Here is a 19,134-nt window from a genome sequence, read left to right as displayed (position 1 = left end):
AATTTCAATGAGATACTTGAAAAATCCCAGATGGAATGTCATAGCTGTAAGACTGTAGTTCCTGGCTCTGTGTCACATCTACACTGTTCCTGTCAAAATTCTCAGATTTAAACAAGTTTGACGATCCTTCCAATACTTCAGCCTCTCCATTCTTTGATTTCCTGTGGCTTTATTCTGCAATCATCTTTAGCCCCTCACTTCTATAATTGTATCTAAATCTTCTCATTACCAACAACTAACCACTCCATCCTTTTAGCTTCAAAGATTCCTATCAGAGTGAGCCTATGGCATTCCTTTCAGTAGCATAACACTAATTTTTTTTTTCAAATACACTAATCCTTTCACCATTTTACTACCATATTCAACTCTTTAAAGTCATCACACCCACCTGACCAAGCTTAGAATCTCCAGCATGCTGTTTTAATAATTCTCTTGCTCAAGTATTAAACTCCTTAACCATCTCTCATGCCATTGTACTGACCAAGAAAAAATGTCTAACTCGCTAAACAAAATTCTCCATTATGCTATAGTCACACTCCCACACAGGTACTATGATGGGACAAAATTTTTTAAAAGGCACAAGGTTGAATGATTTTGCTTTCCACACATGACCATTAGCCTCAAGTGGTCTTCGAAACTGCCTGGGAAGATTTCCGTTTTCCATTCACTATCCTATTCCCTTAAAGAATGATTTCACATCTTCTCCTCTGAATGACCTGTGCTTCTTATTTCCTAAGAACAAAAGGAGAAATTCAAAGGGAACTCACACAAGCCTACCATGCATTTCACTCCTTAATCTGAACCATTACAGATAAACCTGCCTTTATCTCCAGTCCCTTCACTAGAGTGCCTGTTCCAGCCCTTCTCATCGACATAAGATTGTTGCATATTAACTCCCCTTCTCTTTCTTGCATTGTAAATTTTTCATCGCTTTACAAATGTGCTGTCATTTTTCCCATTTTGAAATCCCTTCCTTGTGTCTACTTCCTATTCTAATTATCACCCTATCACTTTGCTCTTTGCTCCTTTTATAGAAAAAATCCTCAAAACAATTAGATAAAAAAATTAAATAATTACCACCAATTTGCCTTTTTCCATTTTCTCTTTACCTCACTCCAGTCAGTTTTTGCTCATCACTACACTAAAACTGTTTTTTGTTGTTGTTCTTTTTTTTTTTTTTTTGAGACGGAGTCTCACTCTGTCGCCCAGGCTGGAGGGCAGTGGTGCAATCTTGGTTCACTGCAAACTCTGCCTTCTGGGTTCAGGCCATTCTCCTGCCTCAGCCTCCCGAGTAGCTGAGATTACAGGCGCCTGTCACCATGCCTGGCTATTTTTTTTGTATTTTTAGTAGAGATGGGTTTTCACTGTGTTAGCCAGGATTGTCTCGATCTCCTGACCTCGATCTGCTCGCCTCGGCCTCCCAAAGTGCTGGGATTACAGGAGTGAGCCACCGCGCTCGGCTTCTTTTTTCTTTTTTCATCAAGATCACCAATGACCTCTCTATTTCATTTTATTTGACCTGTCAGCAGCAGCTGAGACTGTGGCTCTTTTTTCCTTCCTTTTTGCTTTTCTTTTCTGTTCTTTTCCTTTCTTTTCTTTCTTCTTTTCCCTTCTTTCCTTTCTTTCTTTCTTTGATTTGTTTTAAGAGAGACAGAGTCTTGTGCTGTCACCCAGGCTAGAGTGTGCTGGTATGATCTAGCTCACTGTAACCTTGAACTTCCCGTTATATTTCACATGTTCAAGCAATCCTCCTGCCTCAGCCTCCTTAGTAGCTGGGACTACAGGCACACACCACCACACCTGGCTATTTTTTTTTATAGATCTGGGGTGTCACTGTATTTCCTAGGCTGGTCTCTAACTCGTGGGCTCAAGAGATCCTCCTGGCTCAGCCTCATTCTTTCTTAATTCAAACACTTCTCTTCCTTGGCTTTCTCAATACTAGACTTTTCTGATTTTCTTTCTCTTGTCACTCGTTTTCATTCCCCTTTGCTGGTTCCTCCCCACTTCTCCAGCCTCTAAATATTGGAGTCCCTTGGAGCTCAATATTTGGATCTATTCCTCCATTCCCCATGCCAATACCATATTCATATATCTAACTGCCTACTTGTCAGCTCAACTTAAATATCTAAAAGTCATTCCAAATCAAGACCCTTATGTGCTCCACCCACATCTAAATGAGAATCCTGTACAGTCCTCCCCATCTCAATTAATAAAAATCCTACTCTTCCACTTAGTCTTTTATGCACAAAGTCTTCGAGTCATCCTTGACTCCTTTCCTCCATCACACCTTACCACTAAGCCATGAGCAAATCCTGTCACTTCCACCTTCAAAATATACCCAGAATCCAGCCACTTCTCAATATCTCTGGTCTAAGCTGTCATCATTTCTCACCTCAATTATTGAAAAAGCTTTCTAATGGTCTCCCTCCTTCTGCCTTACTGCACCACAGTCTATTTTCAGAACAACAACTAGAGTAATCCTTTTAAAACATAAATCAAATCACTTCACTCCTCTGTACAATACCCTCTAATGACTTCCCCTGTACCTCAGAGTAAGAGCCAAAATTCTCACTGTCACTCTTAAGGCCTCTGTATGTTTAGAACCCTATTACTTCTCCGACCTCATATCCTACCATTCTCTAACCTTTGCTTACTTTGCTCCTAATAGGTTAGCCACCAGCTGTTCCCTAAAGATATCAGACATGATTCCACCCCATGAGCTTTCCATTTGCTGCGCTGCAGCTTTAAATAATTTCCCGTTACATTCCACATGATTTACATTCTCACCTCATTCAAATAATTGCTCAAATACCTCTTTTCCACTGAGCTCCTTCCAAACTATCCATTTAAAATTGCACACCCAACACTCCCTGCACTTCTTCCAGGCTTTACATACCATCACAATGTTTATGTCCTTACAAAAAAAATGTTTATTTCACTTATGATTTTATAGTATTACTATCAGTTTCCTCCAACTAAAATGTATTTTCCAAGAGGCCAGGAATTTGAGTGTGTTTTATTCACCTGTTTGTCCATTAAAAACTCATGCTCTCCTGAAAGTTGTAGAGATGATGCTAGGAAAGAAGCCACATTTCCCAATGCCCAGTGCATCCAAGCAATGTCATTCCATGAATTCTCAACAATGGAATATAGGTGAAACTGATCTGAGTGTCTTCTGGAACCGAGTGTGTAAGGAGGAGTTACTTCTTCCTCAGTCTCTTTCTGCTCTTATCTTCCAGCTGGCTGTGGAGATCACAGTGAATTTATGGATCTTCCTCAGCCCGGATCTCTGAATGATTACATGGATCTGGGCCCCTCCAACCATCGACTCCCACAATCCAACCCTCATCCTTCTGCCTTTAATAAACACTTGATTTGGACTTTATATGAATGAGAACCAAACTTTTAATGTGTTGGACTACTGAAATATCAGATTATTTATTACAACCACCAGTATTTTCCTAAAAAATATATTACTGCCTATGTCTCCCAATTTTTGGAACACTGAAATGTTAAAAAAAAAAATAATCAAATGAAATACATGAATACATGGGAGCAAAGAAAATGTTAAATAGGTGAGTAACCTAAAACATTTGATGAATAATTAATTTGATAAATGAATGAATAAAAACATTTGATAAATGAATTAATAAATTTTATTAATAATGAATTAATAAAATAATTAGTCTACCATTGGTAAATTACTTGCTCTTAGCTTGCTTGTTTCATATTTTCTTGTGTAGTTGCAAATGCTTTCCTATAATGTAGCCCTATATTTTCTTTTAGGAAACAAGACCAAAAGAAAACTTTTTTTCCTTATGTCCATTTTTAATTTCCCTTTCATAATTACTTTGCATTGCTATTAATCACTTGTAATTGAATAATACTAAACAATGTTGCCCCTTCTTGTTTATATTTTTCAAACATTTATATATCATTATCATGAGCTCCACTTACCACTGTTGAACTAAGCTACACGCTATTAGTTTCTTGTTAGAAGAGTTCACCATCCTCTTAATCACTTTAACTCTTCTCACCTGAACTCTAATTTCTCTATATTTTCATTCTTAAAACAGATCAGGGAACAAATATAGAATAGCTCAGTCACTATTGAGAACAATGTGGACAAAATTTCACATTGCTTTGGTCTTTGAGATTCCCAGAGGTAATTACAGTCTGTGTGAGCTCCTTGGGCACAGAAATGATGGCCCATTCCTCCTGCATCTCTGGTGACCAGTGCAGTTCTTGGAATGTGGTTGGCTGTCACTGTAAGTCTTTTGGAAAGAGCAGAATTACAAGTCTGATATGACCCCATGGGCTACTGTTCCCCTTCCCTTCAGCCTAATTCAATATGCAGTCATCTGAAAGAGTACTGGTGAAGTTGATGTTAATGAAGTTCAGGTATTTTTAGGAAAGACTAAATGTGAGTTTTGGTGAGACAGGTAGATCACAACTACATGCATTTCTTTTTTTCACTGCAGTGCCCCTAAACAAACTGAATATTCATTGTGTTTAGTATTGCAATTATCTAACTTGCACATTGCTTATGAGGATAACTATTACAGTTCTGCCTGTCATACATTGCCAGAAAATGAGGAGCTGTTAGCGTACCAAAAAAAAAAAAAAATCTAATGCGGTATGTGGCTCCCAGCAATAGTCCAACATTATACATTTGCCAGTGCTGTGACCCACCTTTAGATGGAAGAAGACATTGCTAAGCCAACTCACAATGCTTTAAAGAACAATTGGTGGGGAAAGGTGTGTATTGCCATAATCTGGATGAGAAGCTTGAGCTCAGTTTGACCTTAGTTCAACAGATCTCAAGTAAAGGAAGCAGAGATAGTTGACTGATCATATTTAGTGACACTGTGGTGGAGATAATTTAGATTTAATAATGATGTCCTCTCATTATGACAAGCAAAAATAAACAGGACAGTTGATACAAACACAATTTTTGTAGTTACTTCAAAACTAGATCACTCATTTTTCATCCTTCATACACAAGGTGGTTAAAATGAACTACATCAATCTGTAACTGAAATAATTCTTTTCAAGTAAATATTGAGTCCATGTTTACTAACACTGATTTAAAAACAATGTTCATATTCAGAAAAGTCTCCACAGCCAGTTCTAGGACTATGAGCTGATCATCCATGATGATGCTGAGCCTGTGCTGGGATCCAAACTTCGGCACATTTGGGTTTCAGGTAGGAGCAGTGATGGGCAAGTAGACGTCATCCTCACGGGATCAGAGACTCTTAGTACATGAAGGTGACAGAAAAGTTGGTTAGAGTGAAGGCCCATGGAGGTCCCTAACAGAAATACCTTGCTTCAAACAATGTAAGTGGCAGAGTCAGAGCTAGTCCTCTGGTTTCCTGAGTTCCACTCCACTGCTCTTTTGACCACTCTAAGTGAAGAATGCATTTTCTGATTGAGTGGCCTCTTAAAAATTAATGTCCTTTTATCTGTAGCTTTTGAAATAGGAAGCAAAAAATCAATTACTAACTATAGTTTGCTGGTAGTAAAAGTTGTATCTGTATTAAAATACCTAAGGCTGGATGAAAATAGATAAATATCAATTTGAAGAATTCTCGATATATTGCTTTGCCCATTTTACTGCCATTAAATGGCTCCCAAATTGATCACAGCCTACAACCTCCCCACTATTTCCAGAAAACTACAGACGAGAAAATATAAATTCCCTCTAAAGTTAAAGAATGTGTCTTATATTTGACACAGCAGGATAGAAATGCTGGATACGCATGAGGACGTGGCTAAAGAAATGACCAGGGTAAAGATGAACGGTGGGTAGAGAGAAGGATATTCTGCAAGTGGAGGCATGGCTGGAGAGACAGAGAGTAGGAGGAGTCTGAGAGGAAGCAAGGGGTAGAGATGGGAGGAGGAAACGAGACATTATCAGAGTCTTGGTGGTTAAAGTGGTACCTGGTTGGCAGCCTGTGACACTGTCTGTCACCACTTTCCACCAAAATGTCTACGAAGGCATAGCAAAGAGGCAAAATTTACACTCCCAATAAAAACTAAGACTGAGAGTCTCTGTATTGCCAAATAATGTGAGTTATACCAGTCTGAGAGCAGGTAGCAAGACCTTCTATCTTTCTTTGTGCCGTTAGTCTGCAGGACACACAGACTAACAGCACAAATCCCATACCAATGAGAATCCTGAACAACTACCCATCCATCCACCAATCCATTCAGCCAGCCAGCCACCCATTCATCTATTCATCCATCCATTCCTGCATCCCAACAGCAACATTTGTTGAGAATGCACTATGTGCTGTGGTTTATAATAAAATATTACTTGGGTGCAAAAGTAATTGCAGGTTTTGCCATTGAAGGTGATGGCAAAAACCTCAATTACTTTTGCACCAATCTATAATTAAACAGAATAATTTCTGACAGTAATGTATGAAGAAAATTAAAAATGAAGGATGAGGTTGAAGTGACTTGGTGAACATTTAATACTCAGTCTAACATGTCTGAATATTCCACTCCTTGAACACAAAGTGCAGTTAAAGCATCGCTCTCCTTCAGCCCCATCACTGCTTATCCATCTTAGCATATCTGTTCAGAACTGAAGTTTCAGAGAAAACACTGGAAAGGAAGACCATATGTTGCTGGTGAGTGTGTGGGGTGGATAATAGGGGATGGTACAGAAAATGAAACATATTCTGTTCTACAATAAGTCATTCCTGCAAATTCAACACTATAGGCACAACAGGAAATAAACAATTCTTAGATTCCTAGGGGCTATGATTATTGAGATTTTTAATTTTATGGATTTTATGGGTTCATCTCAAACCAGCAGGGTCACACGAGATGAATGTCAGCTTGGTGCTTTTAAACTGAGCTCTGGGCTACTCATATCCATCTATTGCAGCTATTGATATGAGACAGAAATTTGACCAGCATCCAATTGGATGCAGAGAGTGCCCAAGGGTTCTCCATAGACCCTCTCTTTTGAAAAACATGGGGTTTGGAATGGGCTTTTCTCACTGCAATCTAAATGTACACAAAAATCTCACATAAAAATCCAAAAACTCTGGAAAGAAAAGAAAAAGCAGAAACAACATAAAGTCTTGGGGAACAGTTATCTTTGAAAATAGCTTTCAATAGGAGCTAAGAGAAAATTTTGGAAAGTTACTTGGCAGCCCCCTTATAATTGTTTTTTAAATGTAAAGAAGTAGGATTTAAGGAAGCTCTAACTGCAACAGCAGAAAAAATAACACCCATTGGAAACATTAAGAAACAGAATGTATCCAAAGCAATATATGAGGAGTGTTATATAGAAACTACTTGAGCTATCTAAAACACACAAGGTGAAAATGATGAAGGGTCCTCTTATGATTGATGTTGAATGCAGACAACAGACATCCAAATCTAAAAAATAAGGCAGCAATCTTTGCAGTGAAACAATTATCAAAGCCTTACTTGAAGAAGAGTTTCCTAACCTGAGAAAAGACCTAAGTATATCATAAAAAGCATATACTTATTCTTCCTATACCGTACGAAGAATAAATGAAAAAGCATGTCAGATGAACTTTGAATAACATTATTTTGTTATAGTGGTCTATTCAGAGATTCAACTTCTTCCTGGTTTAGTCCTGGGAGGGTGTATGTGTCGAGGAATTTATCCATTTCTTCTAGATTTTCTAGTTTATTTGTGTAGTTGTTTGTAGTATTCTCTGTTGGTAGTTTGTATTTCTGTGGGATCGCTGGTGATATCCCCTTTATCATTTTTTATTGCATCTATTTGATTCTTCTCTCTTTTTTTCTTTATTAGTCTTGCTAGCGGTCTATCAATTTTGTTGATCCTTTCAAAAAACCAGCTCCTGGATTCATTAATTTTTTGAAGGGTTTTTTGTGTCTCTATTTCCTTCAGTTCTGCTCTGATTTTAGTTATTTCTTGCCTTCTGCTAGCTTTTGAATGTGTTCGCTCTTGCTTTTCTAATTATTTTAATTGTGATGTTAGGGTGTCAGTTTTGGATCTTTCCTGCTTTCTCTTGTGGGCATTTAGTGCTATAAATTTCCCTCTACACACTGCTTTGAATGTGTCCCAGAGATTCTGGTATGTTGTGTCTTCGTTCTCGTTGGTTTCAAAGAACATCTTTATTTCTGCCTTCATTTCGTTATGTACCCAGTAGTCATTCAGGAGCAGGTTGTTCAGTTTCCACGTAGTTGTGCGGTTTTGAGTGAGTCTCTTAATCCTGAGTTCTAGTTTGATTGCACTGTGGTCTGAGAGACAGTTTGTTATAATTTCTGTTCTTTTACGTTTGCTGAGGAGAGCTTTACTTCCAACTATGTGGTCAATTTTGGAATAGGTGTGGTGTGGTGCTGAAAAAAATGTATATTCTGTTGATTTGGGGTGGAGAGTTCTGTAGATGTCTATTAGGTCCTCTTGGTGCAGAGCTGAGCTCAATTCCTGGGTATCCTTGTTAACTTTCTGTCTCGTTGATCTGTCTAATGTTGACAGTGGGGTGTTAAAGTCTCCCATTATTATTGTGTGGGAGTCTAAGTCTCTTTGTAGGTCACTCAGGACTTGCTTTATGAAACTGGGTGCTCCTGTATTGGGTGCATATATATTCAGGATAGTTAGCTCTTCTTGTTTAATTGATCCCTTTACCATTATGTAATGGCCTTCTTTGTCTCTTTTGATCTTTGTTGGTTTAAACTCTGTTTTATCAGAGATGAGGATTGCAACCCCTGCCTTTTTTTGTTTTCCATTTGCTTGGTAGATCTTCCTCCATCCTTTTATTTTGAGCCTATGTGCGTCTCTGCATGTGAGATGGGTTTCCTGAATATAGCACACTGATGGGTATTGACTCTATCCAATTTGCCAGTCTGTGTCTTTTAATTGGAGCATTTAGTCCATTTACATTTAAAGTTAATATTGTTATGTGTGAATTTGAACCTGTCATTATGATGTTAGCTGGTTGTTTTGCTCATTAGTTGATGCAGTTTCTTCCTAGTCTCGATGGTCTTTACATTTTGGCATGATTTTGCGGCAGCTGGTACTGGTTGTTCCTTTCCATGATTAGTGCTTCCTTCAGGAGCTCTTTTAGGGCAGGCCTGGTGGTGACAAAATCTCTCAACATTTGCTTGTCTGTAAAGTATTTTATTTCTCCTTCGCTTATGAAGCTTAGTTTGGCTGGATATGAAATTCTGGGTTGAAAATTCTTTCCTTTAAGAATGTTGAATATTGTCCCCCACTCTCTTCTGGCTTGTAGAGGTTCTGCCTAGAGATCCGCTGTTAGTCTGATGGGCTTCCCTTTGTGGGTAACCCGACCTTTCTCTCTGGCTGCCCTTAACATTTTCTCCTTCATTTCAACTTTGGTGAATCTGACAATCATGTGTCTTGGAGTTGCTCTTCTCGAGGAGTATCTTTGTGGCGTTCTCTGAAATTGTGGCAATAATCAATAGCTTACCAACCAAAAGGAGTCCAGGACCAGATGGATTCACAGCCGAATTCTACCAGAGGTACAAGGAGGAACTGGTAACATTCCTTCTGAAACTATTCCAATCAATAGAAAAAGAGGGAATCCTCCCTAACTCATTTTATGAGGCCAGCATCATCCTGATACCAAAGCCTGGCAGAGACACAACCAAGAAAGAGAATTTTAGACCAATATCCTTGATGAACATTGATGCAAAAATCCTCAGTAAAATACTGACAAACCGAATCCAGCAGCACATCAAAAAGCTTATCCACTATGATCAAGTGGGCTTCATCCCTGGGATGCAAGGCTGGTTCAATATACACAAATCGATAAATGTAATCCAGCATATAAACAGAACCAAAGACAAAAACCACATGATTATCTCAATAGATGCAGAAAAGGCCTTTGACAAAATTCAACAACGCTTCATGCTAAAAACTCTCAATAAATTAGGTATTGATGGGACATATCTCAAAATAATAAGAGCTATCTATGACAAACCCACAGCCAATATCATACTGAATGGGCAAAAACTGGAAGCATTCCCTTTGAAAACTGGCACAAGACAGGGATGCCCTCCCTCACCACTCCTATTCAACATAGTGTTGGAAGTTCTGGCCAGGGAAATTAGGCAGAAGAAGGAAATAAAGGGTATTCAATTAGGAAAAGAGGACGTCAAATTGTCCCTGTTTGCAGATGACATGATTGTATATATAGAAAACCCCATCGTCTCAGCCCAAAATCTCCTTAAGCTGATAAGCAACTTCAGCAAAGTCTCAGGATACAAAATCAATGTACAAAAATCACAAGCATTCTTACACACCAATAACAGACAAATAGAGAGCCAAATCATGAGTGAACTCCCATTCACAATTGCTTCAAAGAGAATATAATACCTAGGAATCCAATTTACAAGGGACATGAAGGACCTCTTCAAGGAGAACTACAAACCACTGCTCAAGGAAATAAAAGAGGATACAAAGAAATGGAAGAACATTCCATGCTCATGGGTAAGAAGAATCAATATCATGAAAATGGCCATGCTGCCCAAGGTAATTTATAGATTCAATGCCATCCCCATAAAGCTACCAATGACTTTCTTCACAGAATTGGAAAAAACTACTTTAAAGTTCATATGGAACCAAAAAAGAGCCCACATTGCCAAGTCAATCCTAAGCCAAAAGAACAAACCTGGAGGCATCACGCTACCTGACTTCAAACTATACTACAAGACTACAGTAACCAAAACAGCATGGTACTGGTACCAAAACAGAGATATAAATCAATGGAACAGAACAGAGCCCTTAGAAATAACACCGCATATCTACAACCATCTGATCTTTGACAAACCTGACAAAAACAAGAAATGGGGAAAGGATTCCCTATTTAATAAATGGTGCTGGGAAAACTGGCTAGCCATATGTAGAAAGCTGAAACTGGATCTCTTCTTTACACCTTATACAAAAATTAATTCAAGATGGAATAAAGACTTAAACATTAGACCTAAAACCATAAAAACCCTAGAAGAAAACCTAGGCATTACCATTCAGGACATAGGCATGGGCAAGGACTTCATGTCTAAAACACCAAAAGCAATGGCAACAAAAGCCATAATTGACAAATGGGATCTAATTAAACTAAAGAGCTTCTGCACAGCAAAAGAAACTACCAACAGAGTGAACAGGCAACCTACAAAATGGGAGAAAATTCTCACAACCTACTCATCTGACAAAGGGCTAATATCCAGAATCTACAAAGAACTCAAACAAATTTACAAGAAAAAAACAAACAACCCCATCAAAAAGTGGGCGAAGGATATGAACAGACACTTCTCAAAAGAAGACATTTATGCAGCCAAAAGACACATGAAAAAATGCTCATCATCACTGGCCATCAGAGAAATGCAAATCAAAACCACAGTGATATACCATCTCACACCAGTTAGAATGGTGATCATTAAAAAGTCAGGAAACAACAGGTGCTGGAGAGGATGTGGAGAAATAGGAACACTTTTACACTGTTGGTGGGACTGTAAACTAGTTCAACCATTGTGGAAGTCAGTGTGGCGATTCCTCAGGGATCTAGAACTAGAAATACCATTTGACCCAGCCATCCCATTACTGGGTATATACCCAAAGGACTATAAATCTTGCTGCTATAAAGACACATGCACACGTATGTTTATTGAGGCACTATTCACAATAGCAAAGACTTGGAACCAACCCAAATGTCCAACAATGATAGACTTGATTAAGAAAATGTGGCACATGTACACCATGGAATATTATGCAGCCATAAAAAATGATGAGTTCATATCCTTTGTAGGGACATGGATGAAATTGGAAATCATCATTCTCAGTAAACTATCGCAAGGACAAAAAACCAAACACTTCATGTTCTCACTCATAGGTGGGAGTTGAACAATGAGAACACATGGACACAGGAAGGGGAACATCACACTCTGTGGGGTGGGGAGAGCAGGGAGGGATAGCATTAGGAGATATACCTAATGCTAAATGAAGAGTTAATAGGTGCAGCACACCAGCATGGCACATGTATACATATGTAACTAACCTGCACATTGTGCACATGTACCCTAAAACTTAAAGTATAATAATAATAAAATAAAAATTAAAAAAAATTATTTCGTTATGATGTTAATGGGGGAAAAACACTGATTTCCAGCTGGGGTCGCTGTCTATGTGGTGTTGGCATGTTCTCTCCATGTCTGCATGGTTTTTCTCTGGATATTCTTGTTTTCTCTCACATCCCTTAGATGTGCATGTTAGTTTTGTTGGCATGTCTACATTGTTCCAGCCTGAGTGAGTGTGGGTATGTGGGTGAGTGTGCCCTATGATGGAAGGGTATCCTGTCCACGGTTAGGTGCTGCCTTGCCCCATGAGCTCCTGAAATAGGATCTGGCCACCTGCAACCCTGAACTACAGTGAGAGAGTTGGAAAGTGAATTAATAAATACAAATTATTGTAAAGCAAAACTTCATAAAGTATATGATAATCATACACATGCTCAACAATAAACTTATGTGGTACAGAAGCTCTCGGTTAGCTCACCATATTTGTAATTGTTAACTGTGTGGTGGTAGGAAGCGTCCCTGACAATTTTCACTTTGCAAACCTTCATTCCTGGATTAAACTCACCACCAATACAAACAATCACTGTCGCTCACTCATTCACCAAAAATGAAATAAACAATTACCTTACTTGTTTTTATTAGTCTATCTTAAATGTATATACAGATAACACTTTACTTCAATGTTTAATATTAGAAGAGCTTTGGTATTTATTTAGAAGTTTGGTGATGTTTTGTACACCAGAAATATGCAGCAGGAACTTAACTGTTGTTTATATCAATTAGCTTATGGTAAAACTGGTTTTGTTATATGTCAAAACCAATTTTGTGGTATGACTTAAAGTTGCAGTTTCCAAGATCCTATTAACTATGTTAAGTGAGGACTTACTGTATTACAAGCATTAGATCATCAAAAATATATAATATAAAGCAAAGCAACTGCCCAGAAATGGACCAGAGTGTTATACCTACCTATGTTATTCCATGTGTGGAGGTGACAGGATGATTCTCCAGTGTGCAAAAATACTCCAAATATATTCACTACCCAAACAGAAATTGATCAAAATTAAGAAGTTAAGGACTGGGATTATTTGATAAAAAGAACTACATATTCTACTCTTCTAACTTAAAATAACAGCCCTGAACACAAATATATTTATCACTAAATAATGACTTTTTGAAACAGTAGTACCACAAGAACAAGCAAAGCAAAGAGATAATTTTAGCTTTTTTTAAAAAAAAGTTTTATTCTGAGCCAACTAATATTTGATTGAGGTAAGAAATAAGACACACTTAAGTGTGGAGAAATGTAGTAGTTCATAAGCTTGAACTTGCTTATTTGTTTTCTTCCCTCTCAGGTACTATCAATATAGTGTAGATTTGTACAGGAAAACCATCACACAACACTTGAATTAAGCACTAAGAGACTCATCAACATTTTCTGCCATGCAGCTGTCCTCACTTAAAGATAATAATTCTGGGTTTAAGAAGCTCAAAGTCCTAATGTTATTTTAATGACATCATTTATTTCCCAGGGACCAGTGACACTGCTACAGATTCTCATACATTTTAAATGAGCAGGCATGAAACTGTCTACATATCTAATGACAAATATAGCAGAATAAAAATAATGCCAAAATTTCATGTCCTCTTAGGAAAAAATCTCTAATAAAATGTTTTGCGAATGTTGCCATTATGTGTCAGTTTGCATCCTACTACATAATTATTACTCAAAAGGTTTTGTCTATAATTTTATTCAAAATACGTTGACCTAGCATTCACTTTCCCTTGATATTAAAAACAGATAAAAACTAAATGACAAAAATATCACAAGAAATGTCTAGCACAGATAACTCAAACAGCCTAATAGTTGAAAAATTCTGAACACTTTTCATTTGAAAATGAGAGGTTAAGTTTCCTACACATTACTGATGCTAATGAAGTCTTAACCACAATGAACCATCCTGTGAGAAAAAGTCAAGCTTCCATTGACAATTCTAAATGTATTATGTGTTTATAACTGTAAATACTTTGTCTTCAACATGAGTCCATTAAATTTAAGAATCAGAGTAGCAAATAGTGGGGAAAAATACAGTAGCACCAACTTCAAAATATTTACAATTACTGTTTGCAGTTTTGATCATAAATTGATCAGTAATTCTAAACATAACATTTAAAAATCATAACTATCTTGAGACATTTTTGACAATTTCCATTAAATCCTATGAAAACATAGTTGAAAATCTATGTATATGCATAGGTATTTGCAAAAAATAAAGATAAATGTGAAAGCTACTTCCTAATCCTACATTTTAAATTTCAGTTCCAAATGCCATCGCCATTGGAAATAAAAGCAACAAAAACAAATAATATCCAATTTAAATTTTTCAATAAATTAAATATACTCAAATTTTTTTAAAAAAATTCTGTTCTCTATAATTTTGGTTTCGTGTTCAAAATCAGTATATTCCCTCAAACTGTCTTTGACTGAGATTATTTTGGATGGGGAAAAAGCCGGAAATCCTCTATTGCACTGTATCTCAGTGGCCACTTTATATCTCTAACTACCTAAAAGTAAACTGTACTTGGACTCAAAGAATCTGGGTTCAGGCCCTAGGCCCAATACTATGTGACTTGATCAAGTCATTTCGCCCATCTGGGGTAGTTTTGTGTTTTGTGTTTTTGTTTTTTAACTGTAAAATAAGGAGATTGGACTGAATGATCTTCAACTCTGACTTTGGTTGTTGGGAAGATTGCAATGCAATGCCATTTAATGAAATAGACAGAGAGAGAGAGAGAGAGATCAGTAGACCATTCTTCTTTCATATGGCAAAAAGGAAGAAAAGAAGGAAAGAAGGAAGGAAGGGTGAAGGGAGAGAGAAGGATAGAAGGAGGGAGAAAGACATAGATCTTTGTCATACACCTCCTGGTCTACTCAGGAACACTTTGTGACTTATTAGCCCCCTACAGATATTTTGAGGAATGTTGTTCCTGACCAAAGCAAAAACAACCTCTGATTATGAGGGAAAATATGTGTTTTGGAGACTTTGTAGCTTACAAATGAGACAAAGTCTTCACAAATAGCTCCCAAAGGTGGCTTTGGGCAGTATGCAAGCAATTAGGTTTAGAGATAGATCCAGTAGAATGAGGCAGATTTACAAGTAAAGCTGACAGAAAGCCATTTGCCCCAGGAAGTAAATATAATATTGGTCACTTTCCTGTTGGGAGGGAAAATGTGCCTTCACCTCAGCTCACAGTGGGCTCTAGAACTGATGGAGAAGTAAGGTATTAAAAGAGTGAAGTTAATCCATATGCACAAGCGCAAGGGAGACTTGTAAACCTTCACTGCTCAGTATCCCTCTTGTGGCAAGAATTCCAGTAAGGGATCTGAAAGCCATAAGGACTCCTTACAAAAAAAGAAACAATGTCAATTCCCAGATTCTAACAGCCACAGAACTTAGGAAGGAGACTATTTGTAAGGCCTGTAGTCATGGTATTTTCAAATGCGAATGACATAGTTTAATTACTTATGGCCCACTATGGCAAGTAAAAAGCACTCATGGCAGAAATATGCATGGCATTTGGTCCTTCCTAAAATCAGCTGATATGCAATGTTTTACCTGTTAACTCTAAATGATACATCATAACACTGAGTTTTCTAACAAATGTGTTCACTTTGGGCATGTCTAAAGGCCATGTTTCCCTATGTTTCCACTAAGAAGGCTTTTAGAAGAACAATTGACATGCATGAACTTCAGTTTTTGTTCAAATATACCTAAAAATGCTGACATATACTGGGGCAGGGAGAGGAGAACTATAAATCTGTCATTTTCTTTTTCTGACAGCAGCAGGTTAATGTAGTGGACAGAATATGGACTTTGGGACCAGCTAAGTATGGATTGAATGCCTGGCTTGACCCTTCCTAGGGTGTGACAACAGACAAATTGTTTTATCTTCTCCATGCATCTCTGTGGGGTTCTTCTCCTGCCTTATTCTTTAGAAAGCCTGCCACTGCAGTTTCTATCCGCCAAATGTTCTGCTTTTGAGCCTGGTGGTCTTGTAGAATGCATGTGCCAGTATACAGTTTGCCAACAAGTTTGTAGAGACACATATATGGGTGCCAAGAGAGAGATTTTTCAGTTAGGCAAAGTTCAGTCCTCATGGATAAAAAAGAAAGATATTATGAAAGATTACATATTACATATATATTGTATATATAACATATATGTATATAAGTGTATATATATGTATATATGTCTGTGTTTGTGTGTGCATGTGTATACATATGGGTATATTTGTGTATACTATACATGTATACATATGCATGGATGTATATATATGTTTGAAAAATACTGAAAGTTCCTCCATTGGATTTGTACTGTTGAAAGACGGTGGTGGAATTTAGTGCTGCATGTGGAAAACATTAATTTCCAAGCTTAAGTTTCCTTCAAAATGTATTAAAACGAAATTAGAAAATGGCAGAGCAATGTATTCACCTAAAATTTTATCAACTTTTATTTCCATAGTGCAATAATGTAAAGAACAAGTGTTCTGAGGATAGACCTAGGTATGAATCCTCCTTCTTAACCCTTATTAACTTTGTGCTGTGGAGCAGTATTTAATCTACATGGGCCTGCTTAATAATATACTTCCACTATTTGTGTCTGGGTTACTTGACACAATTCATGGCAGAAGTAGATAGTGAATACTTTCTTCCCATATCCCTGAACAGGGATTGCAAAGAATGAGGAAGGATTGAAGAGGTGACCTGGGCAGTGATGCGTCAGGAGAGACCATGTGAAAAGAAGAGAGAATACTTAGACCTGAGCTGGCAGAAATGATAAACTTATTTTCCAGTCTTCCTAAAGATCACTCCTGGGATCAAGAACACCTCCCTCCATAAATTAAGGCTAATTCTAATGCAAAGATTCCTGATTTTATCTCAAGGGAGCTGATGGACATTTGGAAAAGCCCAGTGAAGCTAAGTAGCAATTAATGACGAGTTCACTGTAAGACCTTGGGTTCTCAAATGACTAAAGAGAAAATATCATGCCTTGGAAATTAATGACTGCATTCTGTTAATCATCACACTAACTTGCTACTGAAATTTTAAAATGCCACATTTCCCCAGAGCTGAAGCTATACCCTAGTGCCACTTCCATAATATTTACTACTATCCCCAATGCGGCACTGTAAATTCCACTCACAATTATTTGGCTCCCATTTGGTAAGTGAATAGTCTCTGATACTGAAATCGAATTTCATGGCTAATAGGCTCTCTGATTACTAGGAATTGTTGGTATTTAATTTAAAAAATGTTGCTCAGCCAAGACAGTCATTATTTTCTAATGGAAGTTGGATCATTTCATGACATTCTTTCCTGCTACTGCTGGGGCATTGGCAGCGCTAATCATCACTCACAAACAGGCTGCTTCGCATTGGAACTTGGTTGTAAAATATAACTAATGAGAACTTTTCCAGGAGTTTAAGCTGCATAATATCTTATCCTCTTTATATAATACACCTGTATATTTTTAGGGATTAGGCAACTTTGATGCCTGAAAAAGTATTATCAGAACACATTTCAAAACAAAATTATACAACTGTGCATTGTTTCCATAGACTTCCTTAGCACACTCCTCTGAGCTCAGTGGGGCCTAACTGCTTCATAAAACAACCTGAAAATAGAATACATGGCCTCTCTCTTCCTCACTAGGCTAGTGTTGATCAGGGAGGACAAGTGGAGTGCTCAAGAAGTCAAACATGGAAAAGAGGATGACAGAAACCAGTTTGATGAACTGGGAGAGACAGAACAGAGACACATGTGAAGTATCAAGCTGCAGGGAAGAAGCCAAGACAAAACAAATGTTCAGGTGGTAGTCCCAGAAGCAAACAGATGAATGAATGAGGCTGGGTCACTGGGATTAACTACCACTAGGCTCTGGCCAGAAGTTCCTTTTATGCAGTGCCTCCAGCTATTAATAAAGATCAAATTCACTCCATAAAAGCCATGTCTAGGCTTGGCAAATGGAGTCTTGAATGGCTCTTTGAAGAAAAAACAAAACAAAACTCATGGGTTGTGACTTCTAGTAGTCTGAAATTGAGTCCTCATCTTCTTACTTATGAGCATTGCCCCTTTTCTTGAGTTATGTAACTGCTCCAACCAGCTTCAACTGCAAAGTGGGTAAAATGGTAAAAATGACCATCTTAGGGTTGCAATGAGAAGTCAATGAGACATCTTATGATAAAGGGTTAGATACAGCCTGGTGTTTGGAAAGGGCTCAGGACAGTTGGTACTATTAACATGTGATCCCGTGTATAGACAGTAAAGGACACTACAATAGGAAAAAGTGATTTGAAGAAACCATTATGAAATAAGCTTGGTTTACATTTTTCAAAAGGAATTTTACAAATGTAAGTAATTCAGAATGCTCAGAACTCTTAATGTTGGGTGTGCTTTCAGTTTATAAAAGATTTTTAAACAATTAGTGAAAGATTAAATCTCTTGGGTATCCCATAATGAACAAAAGCAAGATTTTAAGATTTTTACTGGGTGTAGATTACTAATTTCAAAAGCATATTTGGGTTTTCCGAGATTTGAATTCTTTCTTCTTTTTTTGCTCTCTCTCTCTCTCTCCCCCCTCCCCACACTAAGATTCCTTTCCACGACTTTTGAGGCATTCATGAGCACCTTCTGTATGCCACAGAGACCCAACCCTTACGAAGTTGACTTACTTAGGAGTATTCATAAACATGGCATACACACACTATGTCCCCAGTTTGCCAAATTCTTGAACACACAGTTTTCCCCTTAGTTCTCAAAACAACCCTGGAAAGCCCGTGTGAGGCAGATGCCATGAATATTGTAATTAAAATAAGAGAAAACTGAGGTTCACCAAGTTTAAGTGCCATGTTGAAAACACACTGCAACCTGAAGTTGGAATAAGGCCTCATCGTGATGTCTTCTAGTACTGTGCTCATTCATATGAGATCCTGCCAATGCTGTTAGACCTGTTTAAAAGACCATGAGTTTATTAGAAAAAAATCGATTTTTCAAACCGTTTGAAAGCAATTTGAATAATGTGAACA

The 19,134-nt window shown here is 37.6% G+C and overlaps 1 protein-coding gene and 1 long non-coding RNA gene across 25 annotated transcripts in view; both read right to left on the bottom strand.

The window, feature by feature from the left end:
• Positions 1 to 19,134, bottom strand: part of NRG3 (neuregulin 3) — a 1,111,986-nt gene that overhangs the window by 930,521 nt on the left and 162,331 nt on the right. The gene's annotated exons all lie outside the window — the stretch shown is intronic.
• LOC124902472 (uncharacterized) overlaps positions 1,604 to 19,134 on the bottom strand; it is a 31,126-nt gene continuing 13,595 nt past the window's right edge. The window contains exon 2 of the long non-coding RNA XR_007062219.1: positions 1,604 to 19,056. This is a non-coding gene — a long non-coding RNA (uncharacterized LOC124902472). The remainder of the gene's footprint in view (positions 19,057 to 19,134) is intronic.

Source organism: Homo sapiens, chromosome 10, assembly GCF_000001405.40.
Source record: "Homo sapiens chromosome 10, GRCh38.p14 Primary Assembly".
Taxonomy (NCBI): domain Eukaryota; kingdom Metazoa; phylum Chordata; class Mammalia; order Primates; family Hominidae; genus Homo; species Homo sapiens.
Note: the sequence above shows the minus strand (reverse complement) of the source record. Positions and strands in the feature narration are given on the sequence as shown.